A 27,869-nucleotide genomic window follows, 5' to 3' on the forward strand; every position below is an offset into this window, starting at 1 on the left:
CACCTTAGCCTGTTGAACAGCTGGGACTACAGGCATGCACCACTACATCCAGGTAAATTATTTTTAATTTTTTAGAGTTGAGTCTCTCTATGTTGCCCAGGCTGGTCTCAAACTCCTGACCTCAAGAGATCTTCCCGCCTCAACCTTCTCAGTAGCTGGAATTCTGGGCATGAGCCACTGCACCCGACCTATATAAAAATATTTATAGATAGATGTATATACACTGGTTAGTATCCACACAATTATTTATTTGATCTGTTAGCAGAGAAGTCCTAAAAGACCTAGCATATTCTCTAGTACACAGACACCTACCATCCAGATCTCGGTTCCTAATACCATTATCTAACAAAAGGAACTAAGGGTTTTTTTGGAGACATGACTGATTCTAGAACTGGGGAAGGAAAGACACAAGATGTACCTGGAGCATGTTGCAGTGCCGAAAAGTAAGGAAGTGCTAGAAAAAAAAAATCATGTTGTTGGATTATGTCAAAGGGGCATAAGAGCCAACTGAAAGAGTTCCCGGTGACCAAAGGGGAAACAATTTGAGCAAAAAAAAATAAAATAAAAGTAATACTGAATTATAACCTAAAGTATAAAACAAGTATGCATGAGTTAACAATGTTATAAATACATAATTGAATAAATTAATAAGTGGGAGGAAGAGACAAATTGTCCATACAGAAGAATTGCAAGTGATTTATGTAGATACTCTGCCACCCTCCAAAAAGGGAGCATACATCCACTTCTTATGTGTGGGCAGCACATGGTGACTTCCCTCCAAAGATTATGGAAAGAGAGGAAAAAGAGTAACTTTACAGTGGAGAAACTTGGCAAAAACCACTTCAGCCAGTGTCATAAATCATGATGACTGTATATCCAGGGATACGATGTGATGAAAATGGCACTTTGCCTCTATGATCTTCCTCCTGTGGCCTCATAACCCCAATCTAAGACAAGAAAAACATCAAATTCCAATTGGAGAACATGCTCCAAGACACTTGACCAGTACTCCTCAAAGCTCAATTTTTCTGTAAATCTAAAACCGTTCTAGAAAATAAAATCTGACCAGGCATGGTGGCACACACCTGTAATCCCAGCACTTTGGGAGGCTGAGGTGGGAGGACTGCTTGAGGCCAAGAGTCGAGACCAGCATGGTCAACACGGTGAGACCCTATCTCTATAAAAAATTTTTTTTAATAAAAAGAAAAGAAAATCTATTTTTTAAAAATTTACTGACACATAGTTGTTATTATTGTTATTATTATTATTATTACTTTGAAACAGAGTCTGGCTCTGTCACCCAGGCTGCAGTGCAGTGTTGCAATCTCAGCTCATTTCTACCTCTGCCTCCTGGGCTCAAGCCATCCTTCCACCTCAGCCTCCAGGGTAGCTGGGACTAGAGGTGCACACTACCAAACCTGGCTAATTTTAGTACTTTTTTTCGTAGAGATAGAGTTTCACCATGTTGCCCAGGCTGGTGGCAAACCCCTGGGCTCAAGAGATTCTCCCACCTCGGCCTCCCAAGGTGCTAGGTAGGATTACAGGCGTGAGCCACAGCACCCGGCCAATTGCTCATCAGTAAATGACCCAAGGCCCAGAGAAGTTAAATAATTTCCCCAAGTTAGCAAAAGTGTAAATTATAATCAGTATAACCTAAATATAAGAATGATCTTTATTGTGATTTGTTCTAATTTACTTAGCAAACATTTATATTATGCTTACTATGTGAGATGCACTATTCTAATTGCTTTTCAAGTATTCTCTCAGTTAATCCTCATTATAATGTCATAAAGAAAGTACTACTATTATTCCCACTTTGCAGACAGAGAACATTTGCCCAAGCTCAAATAGCTAGTAAGTGGCAAAGCTGATGTTTGGATTGAGGCAGTCTAGCTCAGAGATTATGTGCTTGACCACTACACTACTCAGCCTCTCTTATTCAAAGAAAACTTTGAAAAGTCAATTTAAATTAAAGTTTTCTTCACCGTTTTTTGGCATCAAAAATTGTTACAGAACATTAAGTGCAGACAGACAGTTACTATGACTTGCCACTAGGAGGTGTCAAAACTTACAAATCTGTCTAATGACCGTATTTCAAAGGGAGTAAAGGACAGTTTCTCATCTACATTGCCATTAACCTGTTTCCGTTTGCTAGCCCATGAATAAAAAGAAAAACACACAAATGAAATGAGTTCAGAGGTGTTTGAATTTCGTAAAGTGTTTCACTTGTCTTTTTTTTCACCTTTATTATACATGGCCTTCCATATTATACAATTTAACACTTCATTATATACTGTTTTGTTTTCAAGTTGTTTCATTTGTCTTGTGCCCACACTAACATGTAAAGTTTTTGTTAGCAGGGAACATGGCTTATATTAAACTTATTATTTTTAAAAATTGTATAGCACCTAGCATAGTGTTAGGTACTTTATAAACACTTGCTAATCAGTTAAAATGCATAAATACCTTAATTTACATAATAAACGTGTTTTGGGGCTGGCATAAGTGAACTTAAAAATTCACTAGAGGTGCTAGATATTTAAGGGAATCCAATAATGAATCCTTTTTAATTAGATCAAGAAGAACTCTGTAATTTAGCCTCGTGTAAATCTCTATTTTCATATACGGTTCGGCTTAAAGCAGGAAGTACCTGGGTATGCATCATTGGTTGAATAAAAATTTATTTCTGTATCTTGTACAGGTTTAAGAAAGACTTACTTGAATTCTGCCTTTTCTCCTTTCTGATGCTGATGGCAACAAACTGGGGTAGATCAAGTGGTTAAGATGCTGTCTGAAGAGGCCATGACTTGAGATCCCGGTCCTGCCCTGCCTCACTCACTGGCTGAGCAATCCACTTGAGCTTTCTGGGACTCAGTGTCCTCATGTATAAAAAGAGGGAGTTGAATGAGATGAGCTCTTTCAAACTCAACATTCACTTTCCCAGGTAAGGGGGCAGGCAGACAGTAGAAGAGCCTTCACAGATTCTCCCACCAGAATACCACACTTACAGTACTTGTATTCTTTATCTTAGATGCCATTGACATTGCGATAGTGTGTAATGATATAGTCATTGTCCATAAAATATTTAATATTTCCTTTATCCTCCCTGTCATCCAGGACACTATACAAATATAAGGGCAGGTAACAACCTTCTGTTCCAGTTTCAAAGACAAGTATGCTAAGAGACTGGTAGAAGATATGACAGTTGTTGAAACTTTTATTTCTCTCCAAGGCTAACTTAAAGAAAACCCTATGGCTGGGCAAGGTGGCTCACACCTGTAATTCCAGTACTTTGGGAAGCTGAGGTGGGAGGATCACTTGAGCCCAGGAGTTCAAGGCCAGCCTGGGCAACATAGTGAGACCCTGTCTCTACAAAAAAGTAAAAAATTAGCCAGGTGTGGTGGCACACATCTGTAGTCCCAGCTATTTGGGAGGCTGAGGCAGGAGGATTGCTTGAGCCCTGGAGGTTGAGGCTGCAGTGAGCAATGGTTGTGCCACTGCACTCTAGCCTGGCTGAGAGAGCAAGACCCTGTCTCAAAAAATAAAAAATAAAAATAAAATAAAAAAGAAAACCCTCAGATGTTAATTTTTTCCAACAAATAATTATAAACATTCCAAAAGTATAAGATTATTCTGATATTTAATTTTCTACCAAGGGACACTATGGTTCATTTAACTTTAGAATCTATTATTGGCAGAGGTTTAGGGGCCATCTGAGAGGGGTTTATGAGCTGTAAATTGAGTGCACTGAGAGCAATTAAGCATTTAAATTGGAGCGATGTGTAAATTTAACAGCTGGTAGGTGTTGTCAATTGCAAGCTACAGACCACCGGCTTGGCAGAAATCTGCATACAAACTGAAGAAAATCGATGGAATGGTGAAAAGTAGAACCTGGATTTGGTAATTTGGAGCAAACTTCAGATTGCACATACAGCTGAGAACATTTAAGATTAATCTAGAGGTATGGCATCTCCTCTAGGAATGCTTCACTGGACAAAGATTTGTTAAGCTATTTAAAATGTGCTTAAATTACAAGTTAATTACTCTCCCAGTTAATAGCTTGGGATTGTTACAAGAGAATCTGACCTTGAAGGCCAATGTGTATTTATCTCATAATCTTTGTGTGTGTGTGTGTGTGTGTGTGTGTGTGTGTGCTAAAAACAATGGTTGTTGAAGACTTAGAAGCTTCTATTTATGTGCATGGTATTTATAGAATTTATTAAAGCAGTGACTTTTACCATGTTCCCAGGATCCTCCTTAAGGGTTGCCACAAGGGCAAAAGAGAAAAAAACAGGGAGTTTCTGACATACTGATCTTCCAGCTTCCCATCATTGACCAACTTCTTAGTTAAGTAGATGTTTTAAATTCTCAGTAATAAGGCACCGATAATTGTTGAAGAGGAAAAAGATCAGGGGATTTGGATTAAACTTGGTCTGACCTATACTTTCTACTCCTCTTTTTCATATCAAAATCCACCCTTCCAGATCTGTCACTTTTTGAGTTGTTGGGTGTTTTTGTTTTACTTTTTTTTTTTTGAGACACTCACTCTGTCACCCAGGCTGGAGTGCAGTGTCACAATCTGGGCTCACTGCAATCTCCGCCTCTTGGGTTCAAGTGATCCTCGTGCCTCAGCCTCCCGAGTAGCTGAGATTATAGGCGTCACCACCATGCCTGGCTAATTTTTGTGTTTTTAGTAGAGACGAAGTTTTGCCATGCTGGCCAGGCTGGTCACAAACTCCTGGCCTCAGGTGATTACAAGTGTGTGCCACTGTGCCTAGCCTGCTTTCTGAGTTTTTTAAGGTAGCAGATTAAGTAACTTCTGATAAACCGAGGGGCATACATCACCTCAGGAAGCCTTATTTGTTCTACTAATTTTATTTATTTATTTTTTGAGACAGAGTCTCGCTCTGTTGCCCAGGATAGAGTGCAGTGGCACGATCTTGGCTCACTGCAACCTCCGCCTCCCGGGTTCAAGCAATTCTTCTGTCTCAGCCTCCCAAGTAGCTGGGACTACAGGCGCCCACCACCATGCCCGGCTAATTTTTGTATTTTTAGTAGAGACAGGGTTTCACCATATTGGCCAGGCTGGTCTCAAACTCCTGACCTCAAATGATCCACCTGCTTCGGCCTCCCAAAGTGCTGGGAATTACAGGAGTGAGCCACTGAGCTCGCCCTTGTTCTACTAATTTAAAAATGGAATGTTTTTACAAGTTTGAAGAGTTTTTTAGGGCTGCTATAGTTTCTTTGGCTCCTTAACCTTCTTACCTTAGAATAGACAAGATCCTAAAACACATTCTCAGGCTCCCATGCATTCATGATCTCATTCAACCAACAATGAAACAAAGATGAATAAGACTGTTCCTGGACCTCAAGGAGCTTCCATGGTCAAGTAGGAGAGACAGAAACACAGAAATAACCACAACATAATCAGAGTACTTAATGTCAGGCACTTTACTAGATGATTTACATATGATATCATTTAATCCTACCACCAACTGTAAGGGGCAGGTGCACATCTCCCCATTTGCAGATGAGGAGACCGAGGCTTAGGAAGTTACCTTGACTTTCTCTTGCTCTTCTTTGTACAGTGCACTTGTCTCTCAAAATTTTAATATACTGTTTGTCTGAACCCTCAAGTATATTGCATTAGGATTGTAATCTTTCAGGTGAGAACAGCTTTGTCATCTTTGTATCCCTGGAACATGGTTCAGTGCTTTTCATGTAATTCATGCTCAATAAAAGCTATTGGATTGAATGAAATATGGCAGAGTCAGGATTTGATCCTATGTGTGCCTGGATCCAAAGCCCTGGCCCTTTCCACTCTGTTAATTTGCCTTCCTATATCATAAGTGCAATAGTAAAAATACATACAAAATATGGGAGCACAGAGAAAGTCATGATGTGGTTCACAGGGAAGGTAATATTTGAGTTGGGCATTTGAAGAATGCCCAGCAATTTGTCAAGTTGAGAAAGCAGTGAAAACCTCTCGGCTGGAGAAATAGCTCACACAGTGGCATGAGAAAGCAAGATGCATGTGATTTATGAAGAGTGCTGACTAATTCCATACTGATAAAGCACCAGTTGAAAGGAAGTGAATGATGGTAGATGGAACTGGAAGGCTAGGGTGCACCGGCATGTAAGGGACGTTGCATGCCATTCTCAGGAAACAGTTTGGGCAATGGAAAGCCACTGAGGGTTTTTAAACAGAGGACTCACTTGGTAGAGAGGGGCTGGAGTCAAAATATTTGGGTTCATAACCTAATTTTGCCTCTCACTATGTCATCCCCACATAGTGAGGGTTTCCCATGTCCTCAGTTTCCTAAATGAAAATGGTAGCATCCTATCAACCACTGGGATTGTTATGAGATTCAAAAAAGTACTTTGTAAGCTGTAAATCCAACTACAAATGCTAGCTATTATTAAATTAACATATGTGTTAGTTTGCTAAGCCTGCCATAACAAATACCATAGACTGGGTAGCTTAAACAACAGAAATTTATTTTCTTACAGTTCTGGAGGCTGGAAGTCTGAGATCAAGGTGTGGGCATGGGATGTGAGGGCAACCTGGCTGTGACATCTGTCACCCCAATGATCCCCAGGGTTGACTCAGCTCATCTGGCTGGCTCAGTGAGTGTCCCCTTCCTCACCTCTCCATATGTGTCCCTCCTGAAGCTGCATGCTGATAGAGGAAGACTGTTCCTTGGTCAAGGATATAAGAGTAGCTGTGCTTTTTCTGAGTTTTGTAAGGAAGCAGATTTGGTAACTTCTGATAAACCAAGGGACGTACATCAGGTTCTAGCAAGGGACATAACTATTCTTTGGTCAAAGATATAAGAATATCTGTGCTCAGCCAAGTGCGGTGGCTCACGCCTGTAATCCCAGCACTTTGAGAGGCCGAGGCGGGCAGATAGCGAGGTCAGGAGATCGAGACCATCTTGGCTAACATGGTGAAAACCCGTCTCTACTAAAAATACAAAAAATTAGCCAGGCGTGGTGGCAGGCGCCTGTAGTCCCAGCTACTCGGGAGGCTGAGGCAGGAGAATGGCGTGAACCTGGGAGGCTGAAGTTGCAGTGAGCCGAGATCGTGCCACTGCACTCCAGCCTGGGCGACAGAGTGAGACCCCGTCTCAAAAAAAAAAAAAAAAAAAAAAAAGAATAGCTGTGCTCTTTGTGAGTTTTGCTGGAGCCTCCAGATAAGCTTTCAAGGTCTTTTTGCAAGAAAATGTAGGAACTCATGTTGGATCTCGCAGAACTCCAGGCAGATCCAAACGAGGTGCTACATGTGACAGTCTGCCTTCCTTAAAAAAAAAAAAAGTGGGAGGGTCAGCAAGGTTGACTTCATTCTGAGACCTCGCTCATTGGCTTGTAGATGGCCATCTTCTCCACTTGTCTTCACATGGCCTTTCCTTTGTGTACGTCTATGTTCCAATCTCCTCTTATTATAAGGGCACCAATCATATGGGATTATGGGACCCAAGTGACCTCATTTTACCTTAATTACCTCTTCAAAAGCCCTGTCTGCAAATATAGTCACATGCTGTCCTACTGGGGGTTAGGAATTCAACATGTGTATTTTGGGGGTTCACAATTCCATCTATAACAGCACATAAGAAGATCAAAATGGAGCAATTCCACAATGTCTACTCAGGCAATGCCAAGTGAAAAATGGAAAGCTCACATTATTTTCTTTTTTCTCTCCATCTTTTTTTAAGGCTAGTCAAGTAAAGCAGTGGTAGTGGAGAAGGAACAAAGAAATCTGTAACTGGTTGTGATCAATTCATTGTAAACACCACTGTTTATAGCCATGACCGCTCTATTCACTCAGGAAATGGAGTCATGGGCCCAGACCCATATCTCTTCCTTATAAAATAGATTGCCTGGTCAGAGGCTATGTTGGATGGAATTCCATGTCCGTGGATCAGGCTTTCCAAAACCCTCCAGAAAATCATGCTGGCTGAGGCTCTGTGGACAAGAAAGGCAAATCCATGTCTGGAATAAGTATCTACCCTGTGAGCATGAACTGCTGGCCCTCCTAGGATGGAAGGAACCCTCAGGCTTGCCTCCTCGGGGACCCCAGTGTTGGTCTATAATCCTGAAAATTTGAACACTGAGAGGCAGCAATAGCCAGACTGGCCCTGGGAAGTGGGAGTCCATGCTTTTGGGTCAATACATAGCCTTCATTTCTGCCACCATAGCCAGTCTGTTCATGTGCCCATTGTGTCTGTCCTGGGATTGACAGTGGCAAAGGCTGACCATACATCAACTAGCCAAGAAATTTTGTCTACTTTCTGCAGGAATTCTTCTGTGGTGGCTGCTTCTGGTGGGCATTAACACATGACGCAAAAATCTTCACGCTTGGTGCCTACTCTCTCGTGTCCTTACACATGCCTCTGTCTCCAATCCTCAAGCCCCTGATCAGCCCCTGATGGTCAGGCCATTGACTACTGCCACAGTCTGTATATATTCTTGCCTCAGACCATTTAACCTTCCACTCCTGATGTTAAGGAAGATGAGCATGTTCCTTCTCTGTTTCTCTTTGGCGTCTACCCTCCTGCAGGGAGTACATGCATTCTGTGCATCTCCTCTACACTGAATTGTACAGCAAGAGCTCCAGGGTCACCCAGGTTTGCCTGCGAGTGGGTAGCCCAGTCTGCACAGTTCTGCTGCTAGACTACAACCTCCAAACTACCCTTTATCATAATTCAAGTGGTATTTTGATCTCGAATTGACTCTTGCATCTTTCTCTTAATTAGTTCCAAGTTCTGGAAATGTTATTGATTATGCAGTCTGAAATCTCAACAGAAACTATCAAAGCTGGGATTTTGGCAAGCAAATAGGCAGTACCTCTCTACCTTAAAATTTCTCCAGAAATACAGGCATTTTCCTGGGCTTAGGGAATTATAGGAGTATTTGATCCCATAGTGGACACAGGAGCCTGAAGAGGCTTGAAAAAACGTCGACAGAAAGTATGAATGACAATTGGGTCTGAACAATGTGGAGGTAGGTGCAGTCTTGTTGCCTCACCTCCCTGGCTCTCTGCAGGACTCCTTTCTAGGAGGCTGATGTGATGAGAGCCAAGACCAGCCTCCTGCAGCAATCCAGATTCTTTGAACTCATGGTTCATTTGGACCATGTCATGGAGAGAACTTTGGAAGGATCCGTGTGAAAATACTTTTTCTAACTCTTTTTGAAAGACCAGATATTTTTCTTTGTATGCATTTTCGTTGAATGTTACAGCAAGATGCTTTCTGTACATTTAATTTTACACAAATATTAAATGTCTATTGTATTTGAGATGTTGACTATGTAGTATATACTATGTATTATAGAGACTATATATGTACATATACATATACACACATATATATACAAACAGTATATATAACATATATGTAATATATATAGTGTGTGACAGAAGGAAATAAGCAGTTATGTTTCTCACATTTCTTAAAAGTATTTTTTTCGTGACTACATGCCAGTATAGAATAACTAACATTTCCTTTTCAAAGCAATGTTGAAATACTTTTGCTCAAGCTAGTAAATTATTAGGAAGTTCACATGTAAGTGTGGAAACTAGAACACTCAATTTCACCTCATATGTAAGTGTCTTGTGCTTTTGTTCTAAGTAAAAAAAACAAAATGCATTTGATGTTCACTCTGAATTTTCATGGTAGCAACTGTTGCCCACATCTGGCATTCTGGTGGCCACACCTGGGGCATCACAACACTGAAAACAGATGTATGGGCTGCTTGAGAAGCGGAAACAAGTGTCAGATTCAATCAGAGAAGCAATGGGAACATCACAGAGTGAAGCCTGTGTTTAACCACAAGGTGTCAAATTGGATCAAAGGATGCCACAGACTAAGAGAGGCACAGATCAGTAGCTGAGAAAAGGGGAAGGGCAGAAGGAGATAATAGATGGGGATAGGAGATTCGAGAGCAGATAGAGAGCAAGCCAGTGTGCCTTGGCTTGGTGGTGTGTTCTGGGGATTGGGCTGCTTTGAGTGAACGCAATGCTACGATTATTCCTCCCACCCTACTGCACTGCCCAACATTTGACACCTGTAACATGAAGGCTTTCACAGAAGGCCTAATGCCATAGCAGTTAAAAAGACTGAGCTTTGGAATCAGGAAACCTCGGGTCCAAGCCCAGCTCCATTATTTACTACCATGTGACCATGAACAATTACCTTATCTCTTGACTTTTAGGTTCTTTGTCTGTAAAATTGAGCTAATAAGAGATTGTTTCTCATAGAAAGGGGTGGTGGTGATGATTCTATGGGATAATAGATTGTAAAGTTCTTAGGACAATGCTTGGCACATAGTGACTCCCAGTAAAAGTTAGTCAATATGGGCCGTGTGCGGTGGCTCACGCCTGTAATCCCAGCATTTTGGGAGGCCAAGGTGGGCGGATCACCTGGGGTCAGGAGTTCAAGACCAGCCTGGCCAACATGGTGAAACCCCATCTCTGCTAAAAATATGAAAAATCAGCCGAGCATAGTGGTGGACACCTGTAATCCCAGCTATTCAGGAGTCTGAGACAGGAGAATCGCTTGAACCTGGGAGGCAGAGGTTGCAGTGAGCTGAGATTTCGCCATTGCACTCCAGCCTGGGCAACAAGAGTGAAACTCTGTCTCAAAAAAAAAAAAAGTTAGCCAATATGATTAACTTGGGTCATGAGTTCTGTAACTGCACTTTGGAAAGACCTAGAGATGTGTGGAAATGCCTTTGCTTACCCGTTGTCTTCACCAGAGCCATTCCATTTTTATCCACTTATATATTTTTCTTTTGTGATGATTTTCCTTGAGTAAAGAGTTATACTTTACAAAACTAATATTTAAGGCTGGGAGCTGTGGCTCATGCCTATAATCCCAGCACTTTGGGAGGCTGAGACATGAGGATTGCTTGAGGCCAGGAGTTGAAGACCAACCTGGGCAACACAATGAGACCCTGACTCTACAAAAATACAAAAAAGATTAGCCAGGTATGGTGGTGTGCAACTATAATTTTAGCTACTGGGAAGGCTGGGGTAGAAGGATTGCTTGAGCCCAAGAGTTCAAGGTTGCAGTGAGCCATGATCACGCCACTGTACTCCAGCCTTGGCAAGAGTGGGATTCTGTCTCTAAGAAAAATAAAAAAAGAAAAAATATATATATATCTTTCAAAACCGTGATCTAAATCACCGATATAAGTCTGAAAATAGGCAATTCCAAGTATTCGCCCAGGACCCTTTACTAGAAAATTCCCTCCAGACTAGTAGACACCCTTTGGGTACAGTGTTCCATGGATTATGAAGCCACTTGTAATACCATAATTCCACTTCACTTTAATATCTTATTCACAAGGAGACAATGGAAAATTTTTGCCAACTTCTCTGCTCTAATTAGGAAACACTGGATCTTTAGCATTTCCTCAGTCTATCAGTCTGGTTGATAAAAAAGAAAGTCTATGGTTTTTTCTTTGGTGTCATTGTTTCCAATGCAGCTTCCCAGTTCACTGATGATCAGTGCTAGCATCCATCATTTATGAGTCCTTAGATTGCTAACATAGACTTACTTCTTTTTTTTTTTTTTAGACGGAGTCTCCCTCTGTCGTCAGGCTGGAGTGCAGTGGCACGATCTCGACTCACTGCAACCTCTGCCTCCCAGGTTCAAGCGATTCTCCTGCCTCAGCCTCTCGAGTAGCTGGGATTACATGCATGTGCCACCATGCCCAGCTAATTTTTGTATTTTTAGTAGAGATGGGGTTTCACCATGTTGGCCAGGATGGTTTCGATCTCCTGACCTTGTGATCCACCTGCCTTGGCCTCCCAAAGTGCTGGGATTACAGGCGTGAGCCATCATGCCCGGCCAACTTATTTCTTATAGAAAAAGAAATTTTTACATAAATATTGGATTAATGGCATTCGTGATAAAGCTGTTTCCTAAATACAAAGTCTAATACCACGGGAATTCATACAATTCAAATAAAGCAAATAGGAGAGTAGGTGTAGGAAAAGCTTTGATTTATACAATTTTATGACGAGGAAGTTTAACTGAGAGAGAAGTTAAAAATATCTTTCTAGCATTGGTTAATAGTTAAATAGTTTTCTTAAGAAAATAACCAAGCTAGATGCACCATCATTTTAAAAGGCTGGTGCATCTGTTCATGCACTGAGTATTCTTAATGTAGAGGAAGGTCCCACGTGGGCTTTCTGATTCTTCTGTGCTTGAACAATGCCAGGCAAATTGGTCTGGGATTGTATTTCTCATGCTTCCACCTCGCTTTACCAATCAGTAGTGTATTAACCATCTGTACAGGGATAAAATTTACACTTGCATCTTGCAGTTTTAAAAGAGTACATTGTTTTGATATAAGGCTTTGGCACATGAAAACAACAAAAGTGAATTTTATAACTATAGAAGGACAGAGGTCTAGAAAAGTAAATAAAAGTATTGCATTTATTTGACAATAATGAAAAGTTTTTTGAAAAGCAGAAATGTTTTTGATGTATAGAGAAATTTAGAAATCTTAATCTAGAAATTAAGTAAATAAAATCTTTACTTACTAGAGTTTTTATGTTTGGCCAGAGAATAGGATATGTTGGTAATCAAATACCATGTGTACATTATAAATAAGATATTCTAGAAACTGAGTCTTCAAAGCACTGAAATGTGATAATATCATTGAAATAAAATAGAATGTAATGTCACCATTCAAAAATTTTGGATTACTACATGAGTCCCAGGGTCTTCATATGGCTCTCCAGATTTGCCCCATGAACACAGAATTGAAATCCTATAATAATGAAATAATATATGAAATCCTATGATAATTATATGGTATCGGATTAAAAAGGGAAATGTTCAGATAACAGGCATTTCTTACTAATAGAACAATGGATGGTAGAATTTACTGCATTTGATAGTGTCTAGCAGCCCATCACCACAGCTTAAAGTGTTTTCTTCAAAATTAGATTCCTTTTTCTAATTCTACATTCGGTAAATATTTTTGAGCTTGTATTACTATCATAGTTATAAAATAACTTAGAGTTGTTCTGTGCTTTACCTTCATGAATCTGATTAACGTATTTTTCTGGTTAAATAGTAAGTATTATAAATAACTTGTTATTTAAATATTTCTCTTAGGCAATCTGTATAGATTACCTTTATTAAGGCCATTAAATGACATGTAGATAAAAAGCAATATTTATTATCGTTGAGCATTTGCAATTTTAATTTACAAACTACCTTTCTATCCATTTATTCTGATGCTCTGCTGTGCTTCTTAGAGAGGGTTAGGAGGTTGAAGAGCTTTGTATCAGACCTCTCTTGGTTTACCTGATGCACATCTGGATCAGATGCATGCCCCGTTGAGCTACATGCATGCCCCATGCTCCCAGCAACATCCAACTGCTCAACCCCTCCCCTGTTCCCTGTCAACCACAGGCCCTCTTGGGGGTTAAAACCTTTTGAACAGGGCCATCTGTTCTTCACTTCGACAAGTTGAGCAAAATGACTCAGCAATTCACTCTTCTAGTTTTTTAAGTCAGGACAGGATAAGGGAGAGATGAAAACATCCAATTCAATTCCAAGAACTTGCCAAACAATACGTCATTTGCTCAAAGTCACTCAGTTGGGAAGAAAGATTAGAACTCAAGAAATGTTATGCCCTCAGATGCACTGCTTATCCAAAAATGTATCTAAAATGATTTAGAAATCTCGTATTTCAATCAGCGTTGGCTTCACAGGTGTGCAACCTGTGCAATCACACAGGGTCCACTCTCAGAAGAGCTTTGCACTTGGTTGAATGCTCTGCTGTCTCCATTTTGAAATTCTTAGTTATTTTACTTTTGAACTTATATTTTGTAAGTGATGTTCAATGGGACAATGGCATGAGCAGAGAAGATACATGAGTGCCTTCCAGTCTTTGTTACTAAATCTGTCTGCATATGGCTCTCCAGATTTGCTCCATGAACACAGAATTCCACTACAGACCCACAATGCCTAGAAATGTAGCAGACACAAAGGAAGTACATGATTAGCATGTATGTCCACAAATAAGTAGGCACTGACAGTCCTGAGAGGCCATGTTTTCCATTCAAACCGGAGCCTGTTTTGACTGCAGAGAGAAAGCAAAGGCATCCTAAAAAAAATTATCAAAGGAATCATGTCATATTCATTCTTGCTTATGTTGCTTCCCTGTATTAGCCAACCACTTACACAGAAAATGATGCCCTATAAGGAAAGGGAAAGATAACAGCTCTTAGTTTCTTTCCCTTTCAGTTCCTCCTTACTCATCAGTAAGCTGAAGATAGTGCTAGGAGGAACACGTGCAATCAAGAAGTGAAATAAAAACAGTTGAGTTAGTTTTGTGCAGTGTTTCTACTGTTCTAGTAAGAACAAAACATATGTGTGTGTATAAGCTACAATATACAAATTGTGTAATTTTGTTGATTCTGCATGAGTTAAATACTCTGATATTTTCATTTAAAACCGGCATTGCACAACGGAAAGATGAACATTAAAATTCATGGTAATAGTTTTAAATTTAAATTTTTCTTTATTCAGAAAAACATTAAATAGCAAATAAAAAATACCACTGCAAATCCAGGAAGAGCTCAGAAGAAAGGGAAAAGCTTTATATTTTAGCACTTTTTAAAAACAGCTTTACTGAGATATAATTCATATATCATACAATTTACTCACTTAAAATGCACAATTCAATGGTTTTTAGTATATTCACATATAGGTACAGCCATCATCACAGTCAATTTGGGAATATTTTCATCACCTCAGAAAGAAAGATTGATAAATTAGGCAGGTATGGTGGTGCATGCCTGTAGTCCTAGCTACTTGGGAGGCTGAGATGGGAGCACTGCTTGAGCTGATCTTGAGCTCCTGGGCTGAAGTGATCCTCTCACCATTGACTCCCAGAATGCTGGGATTACAGATATGAATCACTGTGCCTGGCCAAGCATAAGGTTTTCAAGGTTCACCCCTGTTGTAGCATGTAGCAGTGTTTCACTCATTTTTTATGGCCGAATAATATTCACTTTTACAGATATGCCATGTGTTATTCATCCATTTGTCAGTTGGTGTACATTTGGGTTGTTTCTACTTTTTGTATATTATGAATAATGCAATTTGCCAGAGGAAATTGACAAGATATTTGATTAAAAAAATTTTTTTACAAAAGATAAAAAAGATTATTGTTTAGTACAGTACTTTTTTTTTTTTTTCTAGAGATGAGGTGTCACTATGTTGCCCAGACTGCAGGGCAGTGACTATTCACAGGCATGATGACAGCAAACTAGGCCTTGGAACTCCTGCCCTCAAGCAATCCTCCCTCCTCAGCCTCTCTGGTAGCGGAGACTATAAGTGTGTGCTACCATGCCCAACTCTTCACTGATTAATTTTGAAGAAATTAGAATATTTAAAAAATCTACTTAGGCCAGGCATGGTGGCTCATGCCTGTAATCCCAACATTTTAGGAGGCTGAGGTGGGAGGATTGCTTGAGCCCAGGAGTTCAATACCAGCCTGGGCAACATAGTGAAACACTGTCTCTACAAAAAAAGTCAAAAAATTAGCTGGGCATGGTGGTGCTTGCCTGTGGTCCCAGCTACTCAGGAGGCTGAAACAAGAGGATCGCTTGAGCCTGGGGAATCGAGGCTGCACTCCAGCCTGGTGTTCGAGCCACTGTACTCCAGCCTGGGTGACAGAGTAAGACACTATCTCCGAAAACAAACAAAAAATCTACTTAGCATGAAAACACTTCAATACATAGAGTACAGATACGCCTGGAGAGGGAGTTCTCCATGGAAAAATATGCTCCAACCTCCAGGATCTGGGACCAGCACAGGCCAATTACAACAAAATACTGACTCCTGAGGTCTGATAAACATGAGTACCTTTTCCCTGAAATAAGCAGAAAACAATAGACATCCTGGTAAGGACCAGGGAAAACCAGCCTCTGAAGCTGCCAGGTGCCTCTGTCTATTGAAGACAGAGGAGAAAGGATTTAATATTTGGTGAGAGCCATTATATTGATTTTATTTGATTTTGTCTCTCTATTGTGACTAGTGGTGGCCATTGAAATAAATCACAGCTGGCTGGTGAATGGTCCAAATGAAAAGAAAACTAGGATATCAGTCTGAATGAAAAAGTACCTCTACGACTTAAGAGTGAGGGCAAGCCTGGAGGATCCTTTAATACTTCAGAATTGGACAGAATGAGTGGGAACTGAGGAAGGATGGTCCCCAGGACACCCATGAGTATAATTCCTGGTTCCCTGCCATTATAGAAGTGGGAAAGAAAAAAGATGTTATGAGAAAGAAACATATAACAAACAACCCATGTAGTTTTTTTTTTTAACTCTTTTGTGGGTAATGTAGACTAACTGTAATGAAAAAGCATAGGCAAAAATAAATGCTATAAAAAGAAATGTTGTTCGTCTAATTACTGATTTATCACCTAATTTTATCGTGAAGCTGCTCTATGATAGCACATATAGGAAGAAGACATGGTCCTTTGTTTTCAAGGAGCTCAGACTAAAAGAAAGCAGGCAAGTCAACATATATAAATCACACTGTGAATAGTGAAACATGGAAATATGAACAAAGTGAATCCCAGAGGAAGGAACTTCTAATTTGGGCACTAATGGGACTAAAGTCTAGAATATTTGAACTGATTTTTGATGGATTAGGATGAGGTCACCATGTGAACAAAGAAAGGAAGTTTATTCTAGCAGAGGGAGTAACATAGCAGAAGACCCAGGACTATTAAAGAGCATAGTTTGGGTCAGGTGCAGCAGCACATGCCTGTAATCCAGCACTTAGGGAGGCTGAGGCAGGTGGATCACTTGAGTCCAGGAGTTTGGGACCAGCATGGCCAACATGGCAAAACCCCGTCTCTATAAAAAATATAAAAGTAGCAGGGTGCTGTGCCTTGCGCTTGTGGTTCCAGCTATTCTTGAGCTGGGGAGGTCAAGGCTGCAATGAGCCAAGATCACTCCACTGCACTCCAGCCTGGGTGACAGAGTGGACTCTGTCTAAAAATTAAAAAAACAAGAAACAAACAAACAAAAAGAAAGAGCACGTTTTGTTTAGGGAATGTGACTGGACTAGTGGGCTGGAGAGTGAAGTGCAGAGCAGGGGAGTGCAGGAGACAGCAGCCCAGGAGAGGAGGGCTCCAACCTCAAGCTACCGCCCAGGAATGTTGTCTTTGTCCTGTGGAATTTGAGGTGTTTAAGAAATGGCCCAGTGAGGTGGCTCTTGCCTGTAATCCCAGCATTTTAGGAGGCTGAGGTGGGTGGGTGGATCACTTGAGTCCACGAGTTCGAGACCAGCCTGGCCAACAAGGTGAAACCCTGTCTCTACTAAAAATGAAAAAAAAAAAAAAAAAATTAGCTGGGTGTGGTCATGGGTGCCTGTGATCCCAGCTACTTGGGAGGCTGAAGTGGGAGGATCTCTTGAACCCGGGAGGCGGAAGTCGTAGTGAGCTGAGATTGCGCCACTGCACTCCAGCTTCTCAAAGAAAAAAAAAAAAGAGAGGCCGGGCGCGGTGGCTCATGCCTGTAATCCCAGCACTTTGGGAGGCCGAGGTGGGCGGATCACAAGGTCAGGAGGTCGAGACCATCCTGGCTAACACGGTGAAACCCCGTCTCTACTGAAAATACAAAAAATTAGCTGGGCGTGGTGGCGAGCGCCTGTAGTCCCAGCTACTCGGGAGGCTGAGGCAGGAGAATGGCGTGAACCCGGGAGGCGGAGCTTGCAGTGAGCTGAGATCGTGCCACTGCACTCCAGCCTGGGCAACAGAGCAAGACTCCATCTCAAAAAAAAAAAATCAAAAAAAAAAAAAAGAGAGAGAGAGAAGTAATATGATCAGATTTAACTATGTAACTAAGTGCTGCAGGAAGGAAGAATCTTTGAAGGGAAAAAAACAGAACTGAGGCTCAGAGACCAACAGGAGAAAAGGCAAGAAATGATGCGTTAGGGCACTGGCAATGGCAAGGGAAAAGAAGAAAGCTCTGAGACACATTTCAAGGTATAATAAAAAAGATTTAGGGATCAGCTGAATGTAAATCAAATGCAAACTGAAAGCTATATGGTTGGACCTACCTAAAAGTCCTCAACTGTAAGACAAGTTTACAACAGGTTGAGAAGGCAAGGCAACCACACACACACACACACACACACACACACACACACACGCACACACACAGAGCCCAGCAAACAAACAATAGCCTAGGCAGTAAATGACAAGTCATTTTGTACATGATAGACTTTTTTTTTTTTTAACAGTCTCACTCTGTCACCCATGCTGGAGTGCAGTGGTGTGATCTTGGCTCTCTGCAACCTCAGCCGCCTGGGGTTCAGGCGATTCTTGTGCCTCAGACTACAGGTGCCTGCCACTATACCTAACTAATTTTTGTATGTTTAGTAGAGACGGGGTTTCACCATGTTGGCCAGGCTGGTATCGAATTCCTGACCTCAGGTGATCTGCCCACCTTGGCCTCCCAAAGTGCTGGGATTACAGTCGTAAGCCACTGCACCCAGCCTCATGATAGACACTTAATGCTTGATGAATGAATAAATGGGTAATACAGTTGACAAATGCTATAAGAGTCCAGAGTAACACAATGGTACACCATGAAGTGCAGTGTGTATGAGAACAGGCTTTAGAATCAGGCCTTTTTTCAAATCCGGCACAACTACTTAGCAGCAGGAGGAACTTGAGGTTACTCAACCTCACTAAGCTTCATTTTCCTCATTTGTAAAGTGGGCATAATAATCACCTCTTCAAAATGTAGATGTGAAGTATAATAATATAATGTTATATAAAATAAAATAAAATATAATAAAAAATATTTAAAAAGATGTGAAAATAATAAAAGTATTTTATGAATAGGGCCTAGCACGTATTGATCAACAAATGATATGTATTACATTTATGATGGCTTGGTGATGGTCCAGGAAGACTTCTCTAAGAAGGTGGAATCTTATAGAACCTAAACAGGATTCTGTAGGAAGGGTACTATTCTTGTTGGCAATGAAAACACAAGACATTCATTATAGTCGTGAGGATTGTTATGAGCAAAATTGAAAGTAAAACAAGGCAGATTCATAAACTGATTTCTCTGTGCTTCTTTTCTGTACTTCCATAACATTCTGTACTTATAGGGTTTTTAAGGTCTAATTCCTTCACTCCTCCTTGAAAGCAAGAAATGTGTCATTCATGGCTGGGACTGTATTCAGTACCTGACATTATCCCTCATACACAGTATGCATTTAAACATGATGCTGAATGAATAGAGGAATAAACAGATCTCCATGGAGCTCAGGTTCGGCTGCAGGATTAATCAGAGATGGACACTTAGTGTGACATTGTCACTGATATATGTTATCAGCAGGATGTATTTTTTTTCTCCTATGAAGTAGTTCTTATTTGAGTCACAACTGGAGGATGGTTTTAGATCCTTGGCAACATAGGGCAGCAGCTTGATTCCTTTCTGGCCTAGAACCTTAAATAATAAAGTATTTTCAAAAGGAAATTAAAATGCATTGGAAAGATATAACTTTATAACTTCTATAACTCATTATTAATAGATTCCAGAACAGATCTCTGAACAATTCTTCACAGTAGCACAAGAACCTGTTATAAGCAAATGCAATCAACCCTCCAACACTTTCTGGAAATAACTTTAGTTTGTATGAGAATTATTGTTTTAAAATTACTTTTTGCTCTCTATAGCTTCACTATTTATCTTGAACATTCTGGATGAAAATTGTAGCCTTACTTTTCACACAGCTAAAAATTTAAGTTATCTAGAATATACTTTAAAAAGCATTATGGATGCCGGGCACTGTGGCTCATGCCTGTAATCCCAGCACTTTGGGAGGCCAAGGAGGGTGGATCATTTGAGGTCAGGAGTTAGAGACCAGCCTGACCAACATGGTGAAACCCCGTCTCTACTAAAATACAAAAAAATTAGCCAGGCATGGTCGTGGGCACCTGTAATCTCAGCTACTTGGGAGACTGAGGCAGGAGAATCACTTGAACCCAGGAGGCGGAGGTTGCAGTGAGCTGAGATCACGCCACTGCACCCCAGCCTGGGCAACAGAGAGAGTGAGACTCCCTCAACAACAACAACAAAAAAAAGTGTATGGATAATGGAGATACAGTCTTCTCTCTCCATCTCCTCACATCCTTGTAATCATGAAAATGTAGCTTTCTTTCTTCTCTTGTTTCCATTCTTTTTATTATCCAATCAGTATTCCATATTAGCACATTGAAAGCTCCACATTGTTTTTACAGTTGCATAGTATTCCACTTGTGAATATACCATTATTATTTAACCAGTTATCTGTATATAAGTGGTTCTCAATTAGAGAGTCTGGGAGGTTTTGTCCCTGACTGGGGTCATTTGGCATTGTCTACAATCATTTTGGTCTGGGAGTAAAGTGCTGCTCACATCTAGTAGGTAGAGGCCAGAGATGCTACTAAATATGCTACAATGCACAGAACAGTCCCATAACAAAGAATTATCTGGTCTAAAATGTCAATTAGTGCTGAGATTGGAAAATTCTGCTATGGATGGACATTTGGGCTATTTCCAATCTTCATGGCTATACAAGCAATGCCTCAATAAATGACCTTGTAAATTTGTCATTTTGTATAAATGCAAACATATTTTTAGAATGAATTGCCAGAAGTGATAGTGCTGGGTTGAAGAATACGTGCAATTGAAATGCCTTCTAAATCACCCCCAAAGGGATGTGGATTCTGCACTTCCAACAGTAGTTTATTTATTTCTACAATCTCTTGAACAAAGTGTATTGCTACGCTTTTGTTTTTTCGTAATCTGAGAAGTGCAGGATGTTATTTCAGTTACCCTTAATTTGCAACTGCCTTATGATAATGTCTTTTCATATGGTGAAGGGCCATTTGAATTTCTTTCTTTCTTTCTTTTCTTCTTTTTTTTGAGATGGAGTTTCACTCTTGTTGCCCAGGCTGGAGTGCAATGGCACGATCTCAGCTCACCGCAACCTCGCCTCCTGGGTTCAAGTGATTCTCATTCCTCAACCTCCCAAGTAACTGGGATTACAGGTGCCCACCACCACACCGGCTAATTTTGTATTTTAAGAGATGGGGTTTCTCCACGTTGGCAAGGCTGGTCTCAAACTCCTGACCTTAGGTGATCCATCCGCCTCGGCCTCCCAAAGTGCTGGGATTACAGTCGTGAGCCACTGCGCCCAGCGTGAATTTCGTTTTCTATTGCCTTAGGGTGAGACGAAGACAGTTGTCTGAACACCGGGTGGGGTTTTCAGAGAGTCTGTGACTATAGCCAGGGTTTAAACAGAGTAAAGGAATCTGCGCTTTTATCAAGGCACCTGAAGATACAAAACTCAAGAAATCTAGTCCAAGCCAATGTATTAGAAAGAGAAGAATCAAATGGCAGGGAGACGGGACAAGCTCCAGGTTCAAAAGGCCAGAAGAGGGTTGGAGCCAGAGTAAAGGAGCCTAGAGTCCAGAATCTGCCAGCGGAGTCAGGTTGGAATAAAAATATATTGGAGCAAAAGCTAATTGTGTGAAATGACTAACATAGCAGCAGCTGGCTTAGAAGGAATAATGGCTAGGTAGACACACTGGCTGAACAGCTTCCTTTCTCCTCACAGAATTTTGTTATTTCTTCTATTATAGTATTTAACTTGTATTGCAATTGTCATGCACAGTGCCTGGCATGAAATTAACCCTTTTTTTTTTTTGAGACAGAGTCCCTCTCTCTCGCCCAGGCTGGAGTGCAGTGGCGTGATCTCAGCTCACTGCAAGTTCCGCCTCCCGGGTTCACGCCATTCTCCCGCCTCAGCCTCCGGAGTAGCTGGGACTACAGGCGCCCGCCACCACACCCGGCTAATTTTTTATTTTTATTTTTTTATTTTTAGTAGAGACAGGGTTTCACCATGTTAACCAGGATGGTCTCGATCTCCTGACCTCGTGATCCGCCCGCCTCCGCCTCCCAAAGTGCTGGGATTACAGGCGTGAGGTCCCGCACCCGGCCCTTATTCTTTATCTTCTTATCCCTTATCTGACACTAATCTTGAAGTTCTGCCTTAGCCCTCCTCTAAGAATCTCTATTTGCACTATAAGTAATTGGTTTTTTTTTCTCTACGTAACATTCTCCATCACCATCTCCAAATATACTAATTAACTGTGACAGTTAAGGTGTTTATATTCTTCTAATTGAAATTAGTAAATATACTTGGCTGATGATCAGTGCAGGATATGCAGTTTTATTTGTGTGTCTTAATGACCAAAGACTTAGGGTATGAGGAAAGTCCTACTCTTGTAAAAACAAAACAAAACAAAAACAACCCATGTTACTGTTACCAGTAGAGGCTCTTGACTGCAAGCTGCCCAGGTTCTTCGCATTTTGAAGAATTGGGCAAAACGCACAGCAAAGCAAGGAAACAATGAAGCCATGAAAGCAGAGATTTATTGAAAGTGAAAATACACTCCACGGTGTGGAAGCCCTCCCAACAGCGGCTCAAAGGCTCTGGATACAGAACCTTCTTGGGTCCAAATACCCGCTAGAGGTTTCCCATTGGCCACTTGGTGTTCACCACATGTAAATGAAGTGGTGGTCCACAATTAGTCTGATTGCTTGCAGACAGCAAGCAATCAGAGGCTGAAGTCAAGTTACAAAGGTCACACTCCTATGCAAACATATGGTTGGTTGTGGAAAGCAAACAATCAGAGGCTAAAGTGAAGTTATAAAGTTGCACTTCTATGCAAATGTAGCCTTGGCTCATAATCATAATCACTGAAGTGAAGTTACAATGTTATATTCCTATGGAAAGGTCTGATTGGTTGCAAAAAGTAACCACTCAGAGGTAGTTTCAGTTTCCCATCTGCTGTGTAGAAAAGGTTGGGGTTTGCAAAGGGAGTAGCTTCTGGTCCTTTTGTTACGTAGGTGCAGAAAGTTGGGGTTTTTCTTTCGATTTAGTTCTAGGAAGTCAGGGTGAATCAGCCTTAGGTTCCTTGCCTCCAGACCCTATTCTGCCTCATTACGATATTCCTTTCACGTTCTTTGGGACTATTCGGTGTTTCACATGAGATTGGCTCTCATGCCTGGTGAAATACTCAAATTCAGTTATACAGATAACCTTGTCTTGAAAAGTTCTAGAAAGCACTACTGAAACTTTAGTCTCCAGCTTTATTTCTTCTGGACTACTTGATACAAACTGTCTCTCTCTCTTTTTTTTTTCTGAGACAGGTTCTTGCTTTGTCATCCAGGCTGGAGTGCAGTGGCTCAAACATGGCTCACTGCAGCCTCCGCCTCCAGGGTTCAAGCGATCCTCTCACCTCAGCCCCACAGGTAGCTGGGACTACAGGTGCGTGCCAGCATGCCTAGCTATTTTTTTGTATTTTTTTAAAGATGGGGTCTTGCTATGTTGCCCAGGCCGATCTTGAACTCCTGAGCTCAAGCAATCTTCCCATCTCGGCCTCCCGAAGTGCTGGGATTACAAGTATGAGCCACCACACAGAACCAGTATGATCTCTTTTCATGGTACTTAAAAAATTATATTACTAGCCTTTGTTCAACAAGCTTGTATAAGTGTAATGACCTATTTTATAAATTATTTTTATTGTATTTTAAATTAGATGTTTATTGATGACTTAGCAAGAAATACATTACTCTCAACACTAAAAGCCTATTAACATTAAATTATAAAATTTAGTATTTCCAGAATATTTCTTGCAGACACCAATCCCATCAATGTTTCAACTCAATTTAATAGGCATCTTGTGAAGAACTGGTATAGAAAATCAGAGTTTTGCTCAATGCCTAATTATCATAAATTGAAGCATTTATTGTCTTCTATGTTCTTAGTACCATATTTAGTTATAGGACAATTCATAGTCCTATATGGTGCTATGGTATAGCAATAGGCTATACCATATAGCCTAAGTGTGTAGTAGGCTCTACCATGTAGGTTTGTGTAAGTGCACTCTATGATGTTCACACAAGGACAAAATCACCAAACAATGCTTTTTTCAGACTGTACCCTGTCGTTAAGCAACATATGACTGTGTTTTATATGGGAATATGGACACCAAAATGTTATTCTCTATGTGTATTATGAGTAATTTTTATTTTTTGTTTTATACTTTTTATATTTTTTCAGAAATAACATCAATACTTTGTAATCAGAAAAATATATTTTAGGGATAAGTATTGGCTTGTACAATTTTTTTTTTGCTTTTGTGAAAATACAGAGGAAAAACTAATGTTATATTATAACGAAAATGGTATATGTTAACAAAGGAATCCTTTTACAGAAACTCCTTAGAAATAAAAGGAAAATCAAGGCCAAAGCAAAAGTCATGTCATGACTTTAAAGAACTTTGCCCCCTAGGATACAAAATCTATTAATTTTAACGGTGGGGCTACTGTTTGTAAGAGTACCAAACATTCTGAATAGATAGAAGCCTCCAGCTGTAAACTGATGGACTTTTGTGGTCTCAAAGCAGTTGAGGGTTTCTACCCTTAAAATACCATTTCTCATGTTACAGCAATTGAGAGTGTGCAAAATGTATAGAACAGATTGTGTTTCACTCTATTTGCGTGGCTTGTTGAAGTTAGATTAATACTGTGGGAATCCTTACTCCATTCATAACTCTGAATATGTACTTATGGTATTTATATATCTAGAATTTAAGTAATCACTCTTGCCCACCATCTGTACACGGATAATTTTTACCCTGGGAGCTATTGGTTCCAATGTATTGTTTTGACATTATACGCTATAGTTGATTCAAACAGAAGTGAATACCACAACAGTTGGCACTCTAAAATAAAATCCAGACCAATAACTTTCACAATTTTGTGGAATCTAATATGCCTATTACCCACACTGAGTCCACTACAGAATTAAAGTGAAAACTTGGAAAAGTAAGAATGAGATCTATATAAAAATTATCATCCCTCACTTGACAAAAAATTCTCATTGAAATCAATTGAGACTACAGGGTTCAATCTAGGAAAGTTGTATAGACCTAGAGTTCCCCAAATTTCTCAACTATGTCTGTTGACTGATATTTATGGCTTCCCTTTTCATTTATATTCTTTTTCTTTTCAAACACAGTGTAGTATAACTTGTTTAATTTTTTTAAAGTCTGAAGACTCAAAAACAAAACTAAACAATTTGAAAGCAAAACCTTACTGGCAGTGCAGATGCAACTTACAAAATATGAGAATCAGATGTGGAGATCTTTAGGGATTATAACATTTTAGATGATGATGATGATAACAATTATTATTATTATTTGAGACAGGGTCTCACTCTGTTGCCCAGGATGGAGTGCAGTGGCGTGATCTTGGCTCACTGCAACTTCCACCTCCTGCGTTCGAGAGATTCTCCTGCCTCAGCCTCCCAAGTAGCTGGGACTACAGGCACGTGTCACCATGCCTGGCTAGTTTTTGTATAGGTTGATGCAAAAGTAACTGTGGTTTTTGCAATTTTAAAAGTTATTTAATATTTTTGGTAAAGACAAGGTTTCACCATGTTGGCCAGGCTGTTCTTGAACGCCTGACGTCAAATGATCTGCCTGCTTTGGCCACTCAAAGTGCTGGGCTTACAGGTGTGAACCACTGAGGCTGGCCCCTTTTAGAAATTTTAATAGTAGCCAAGGCATGATCGGTACCAAACTATCTAATTCCAGCTACAAAGGTTGTTTGAAAACTCATTTTTAGAAGTTTGATAGCCTGTCCATAATCATACCACTTCCCACAAGCTTGAAAAAAAGAAAAAAAAGCAGGGGATAGCACATGGATTATACAAAAGGATAAAAGGATTATTATTATGTATTTATTTATTTATTTTTGAGACAGAGTCTTGCTCTGTCACCCAGGCTAGAGTGCAGTGTCGAGACCTTGGCTCACTGCAACCTCCACCTCCCGGGTTCAAGTGATTCTCATGCCCTAGCCTCCCAAGTAGCTGGGATTACAGGTGTGCGCCATCACAACCAGCTAATTTTTGTATTTTTAGTAGAGTTGGGGTTTCACCATGTTGGCCAGGCTGGTCTTGAATTCCTGGCCTTAAGTGATCCACTGACCTCAGCTTCCCAAAGTACTGGGATTACAAGTCTAAGCCACAGTGCCTGGACAAAAGGATTATTTTAAACATAACTAATGTTGCTTATTTACAAGTTTTTATGTACTTCTAAATTTCAATATATTTAAAGTTTTCTGTTGACTAATTTAATCAAAACCTGTCTAAAGTTGAAGAGAGAAGATCCTGAGAAGTTACGTATTGATTAATTCCTAAACTTAGTTGTAATGTATATTGACCTAACTCTAACTTTATCTGAAACTAATAGGTCAACCTAATATTAGGTCAACATTATTATTATTATTTGTTTATTTATTTAATTTGTTTTGAGAAGGAGTCTCACTCTGTGGCCCAGGCTGGAGTGCAGTGGCACAATCTCGGCTCACTGCAAGCTCCGCCTCTGGGGTTCACACCATTCTCCTGCCTCAGCCTCCCAAGTAGCTGGGACTACAGGTGCCCGCCACCATGCCCGGCTAATTTTTTGTATTTTTAGTAGAGACAGGGTTTCACCGTGTTAGCCAGGGTGGTCTCAATCTTCTGTATGTCAATATTGCTAACTGAATACTAGGTCAATATTATTACATTGTTCTAATTCTGAATGTTGATGCCCATATGGTTAGCGCTAATAACCGTTGAATATGTCTGCAGTTTATCAAGGAGTTTTATCTTGTTCTAACAACAAAACAAAAGAAAAAGAAAATAGAAAACAGTGGGCATATTCAATCATCAAAGGACCCAATAACAGAGAGAAATGTAATTTACATTTCTTGAATGCCACTATACATCAGACATTATGCTAGGCATTTTACATGGATTTATTGCTTAATCTTCCCAACGATCCTATGAGTAATTATGAGTAATGTATTATTATCCTATTTTACAGATGAAGAAAATGAGACTTGAAGGCAGAAAGTGGAATGTAGATGACACTCAGCTCTTCTTTGAGATGAAAACCCAAATGCATGAGGATAAATCAGAGGAAGTTATTATAAGACAGGGAGGTTGAGAAAAATGTGTCACATGAGTTTCAGCACGAACAAAAGCAAGGTACTTTCATTTAAAATGTATTTAGAGGATAATGATAAGTCATTATTAACTACTCCTCTAAAATAATAATCCTCAATGGTTACAGCCAATATGCCAATAGAAGATTGGGCATTGCCAAAAATTAAAGGAAAATTAAATTGAAAACACTGTCCTTCCTTTCAACAAACTATGATATATCCCCATCTAAATATTCTACCCCATTCTGCTTGTTTCATCTCTAGAAATGAATAATGGAACCAGCCAGGCATGGTGGCTCACACCCGTAATCCCAGCACTTTGGGAGGCAAAAGTGAAAGGTTGGCTTGAGCCCAGGAATTTGAGACCAACCTGGGCAACATAGTGAGACCTCATCTGTACCAAAAAATATATATAAATAAATAAGTAAATTAGCTGGATGTGGTGGCACGCACCTATGGTTCCAGCTACTCTGGAGGCTAAAGGTGAAAGCCACAGTGAGCCATGATCACGCCACTGCACTTTCAGCCTGGGTGACAGAGCAAGGCCCCATCTCAAATAATAATAATAATAATAATAATGGAACCAAGGAAGGCCCAAATGAAATTGAGCTTTTACCGAAAAGTGTCACTTGAAGTTTTTTTATGCTAAGAATAGTGTCTTTTATTCTCAGATCACTTTTCATGATATGCTCGTCTAAACCCTGGAGTATGGTGGCAAGAAAGATGAACATGCTCACTCAGACTCTTATTCAGTAATTCATATAATAAATGT

At 40.2% G+C, this 27,869-nt stretch overlaps 1 pseudogene, besides 2 other annotated features; it reads left to right on the top strand.

Moving 5' to 3' along the window:
- Window positions 1,910-2,204: a silencer, noted in NCBI's record as "tiled region #7481; HepG2 Repressive DNase unmatched - State 12:CtcfO". NCBI's record gives its function as "represses a minimal TATA promoter and a strong SV40 promoter by Sharpr-MPRA in HepG2 cells {active_cell/tissue: HepG2}" and the evidence as "EXISTENCE:reporter gene assay evidence [ECO:0000049][PMID:27701403]".
- RN7SKP123 (RN7SK pseudogene 123) lies at window positions 6,550-6,840 on the top strand (annotated as a pseudogene).
- Window positions 22,791-23,050: an enhancer, noted in NCBI's record as "active region_1325". NCBI's record gives its function as "activates an Ori minimal core promoter by ATAC-STARR-seq in GM12878 lymphoblastoid cells {active_cell/tissue: GM12878}" and the evidence as "EXISTENCE:reporter gene assay evidence [ECO:0000049][PMID:35858748]".

The sequence above is a fragment of the Homo sapiens genome, chromosome 1 (genome assembly GCF_000001405.40).
Source record: "Homo sapiens chromosome 1, GRCh38.p14 Primary Assembly".
Classification (NCBI taxonomy): domain Eukaryota; kingdom Metazoa; phylum Chordata; class Mammalia; order Primates; family Hominidae; genus Homo; species Homo sapiens.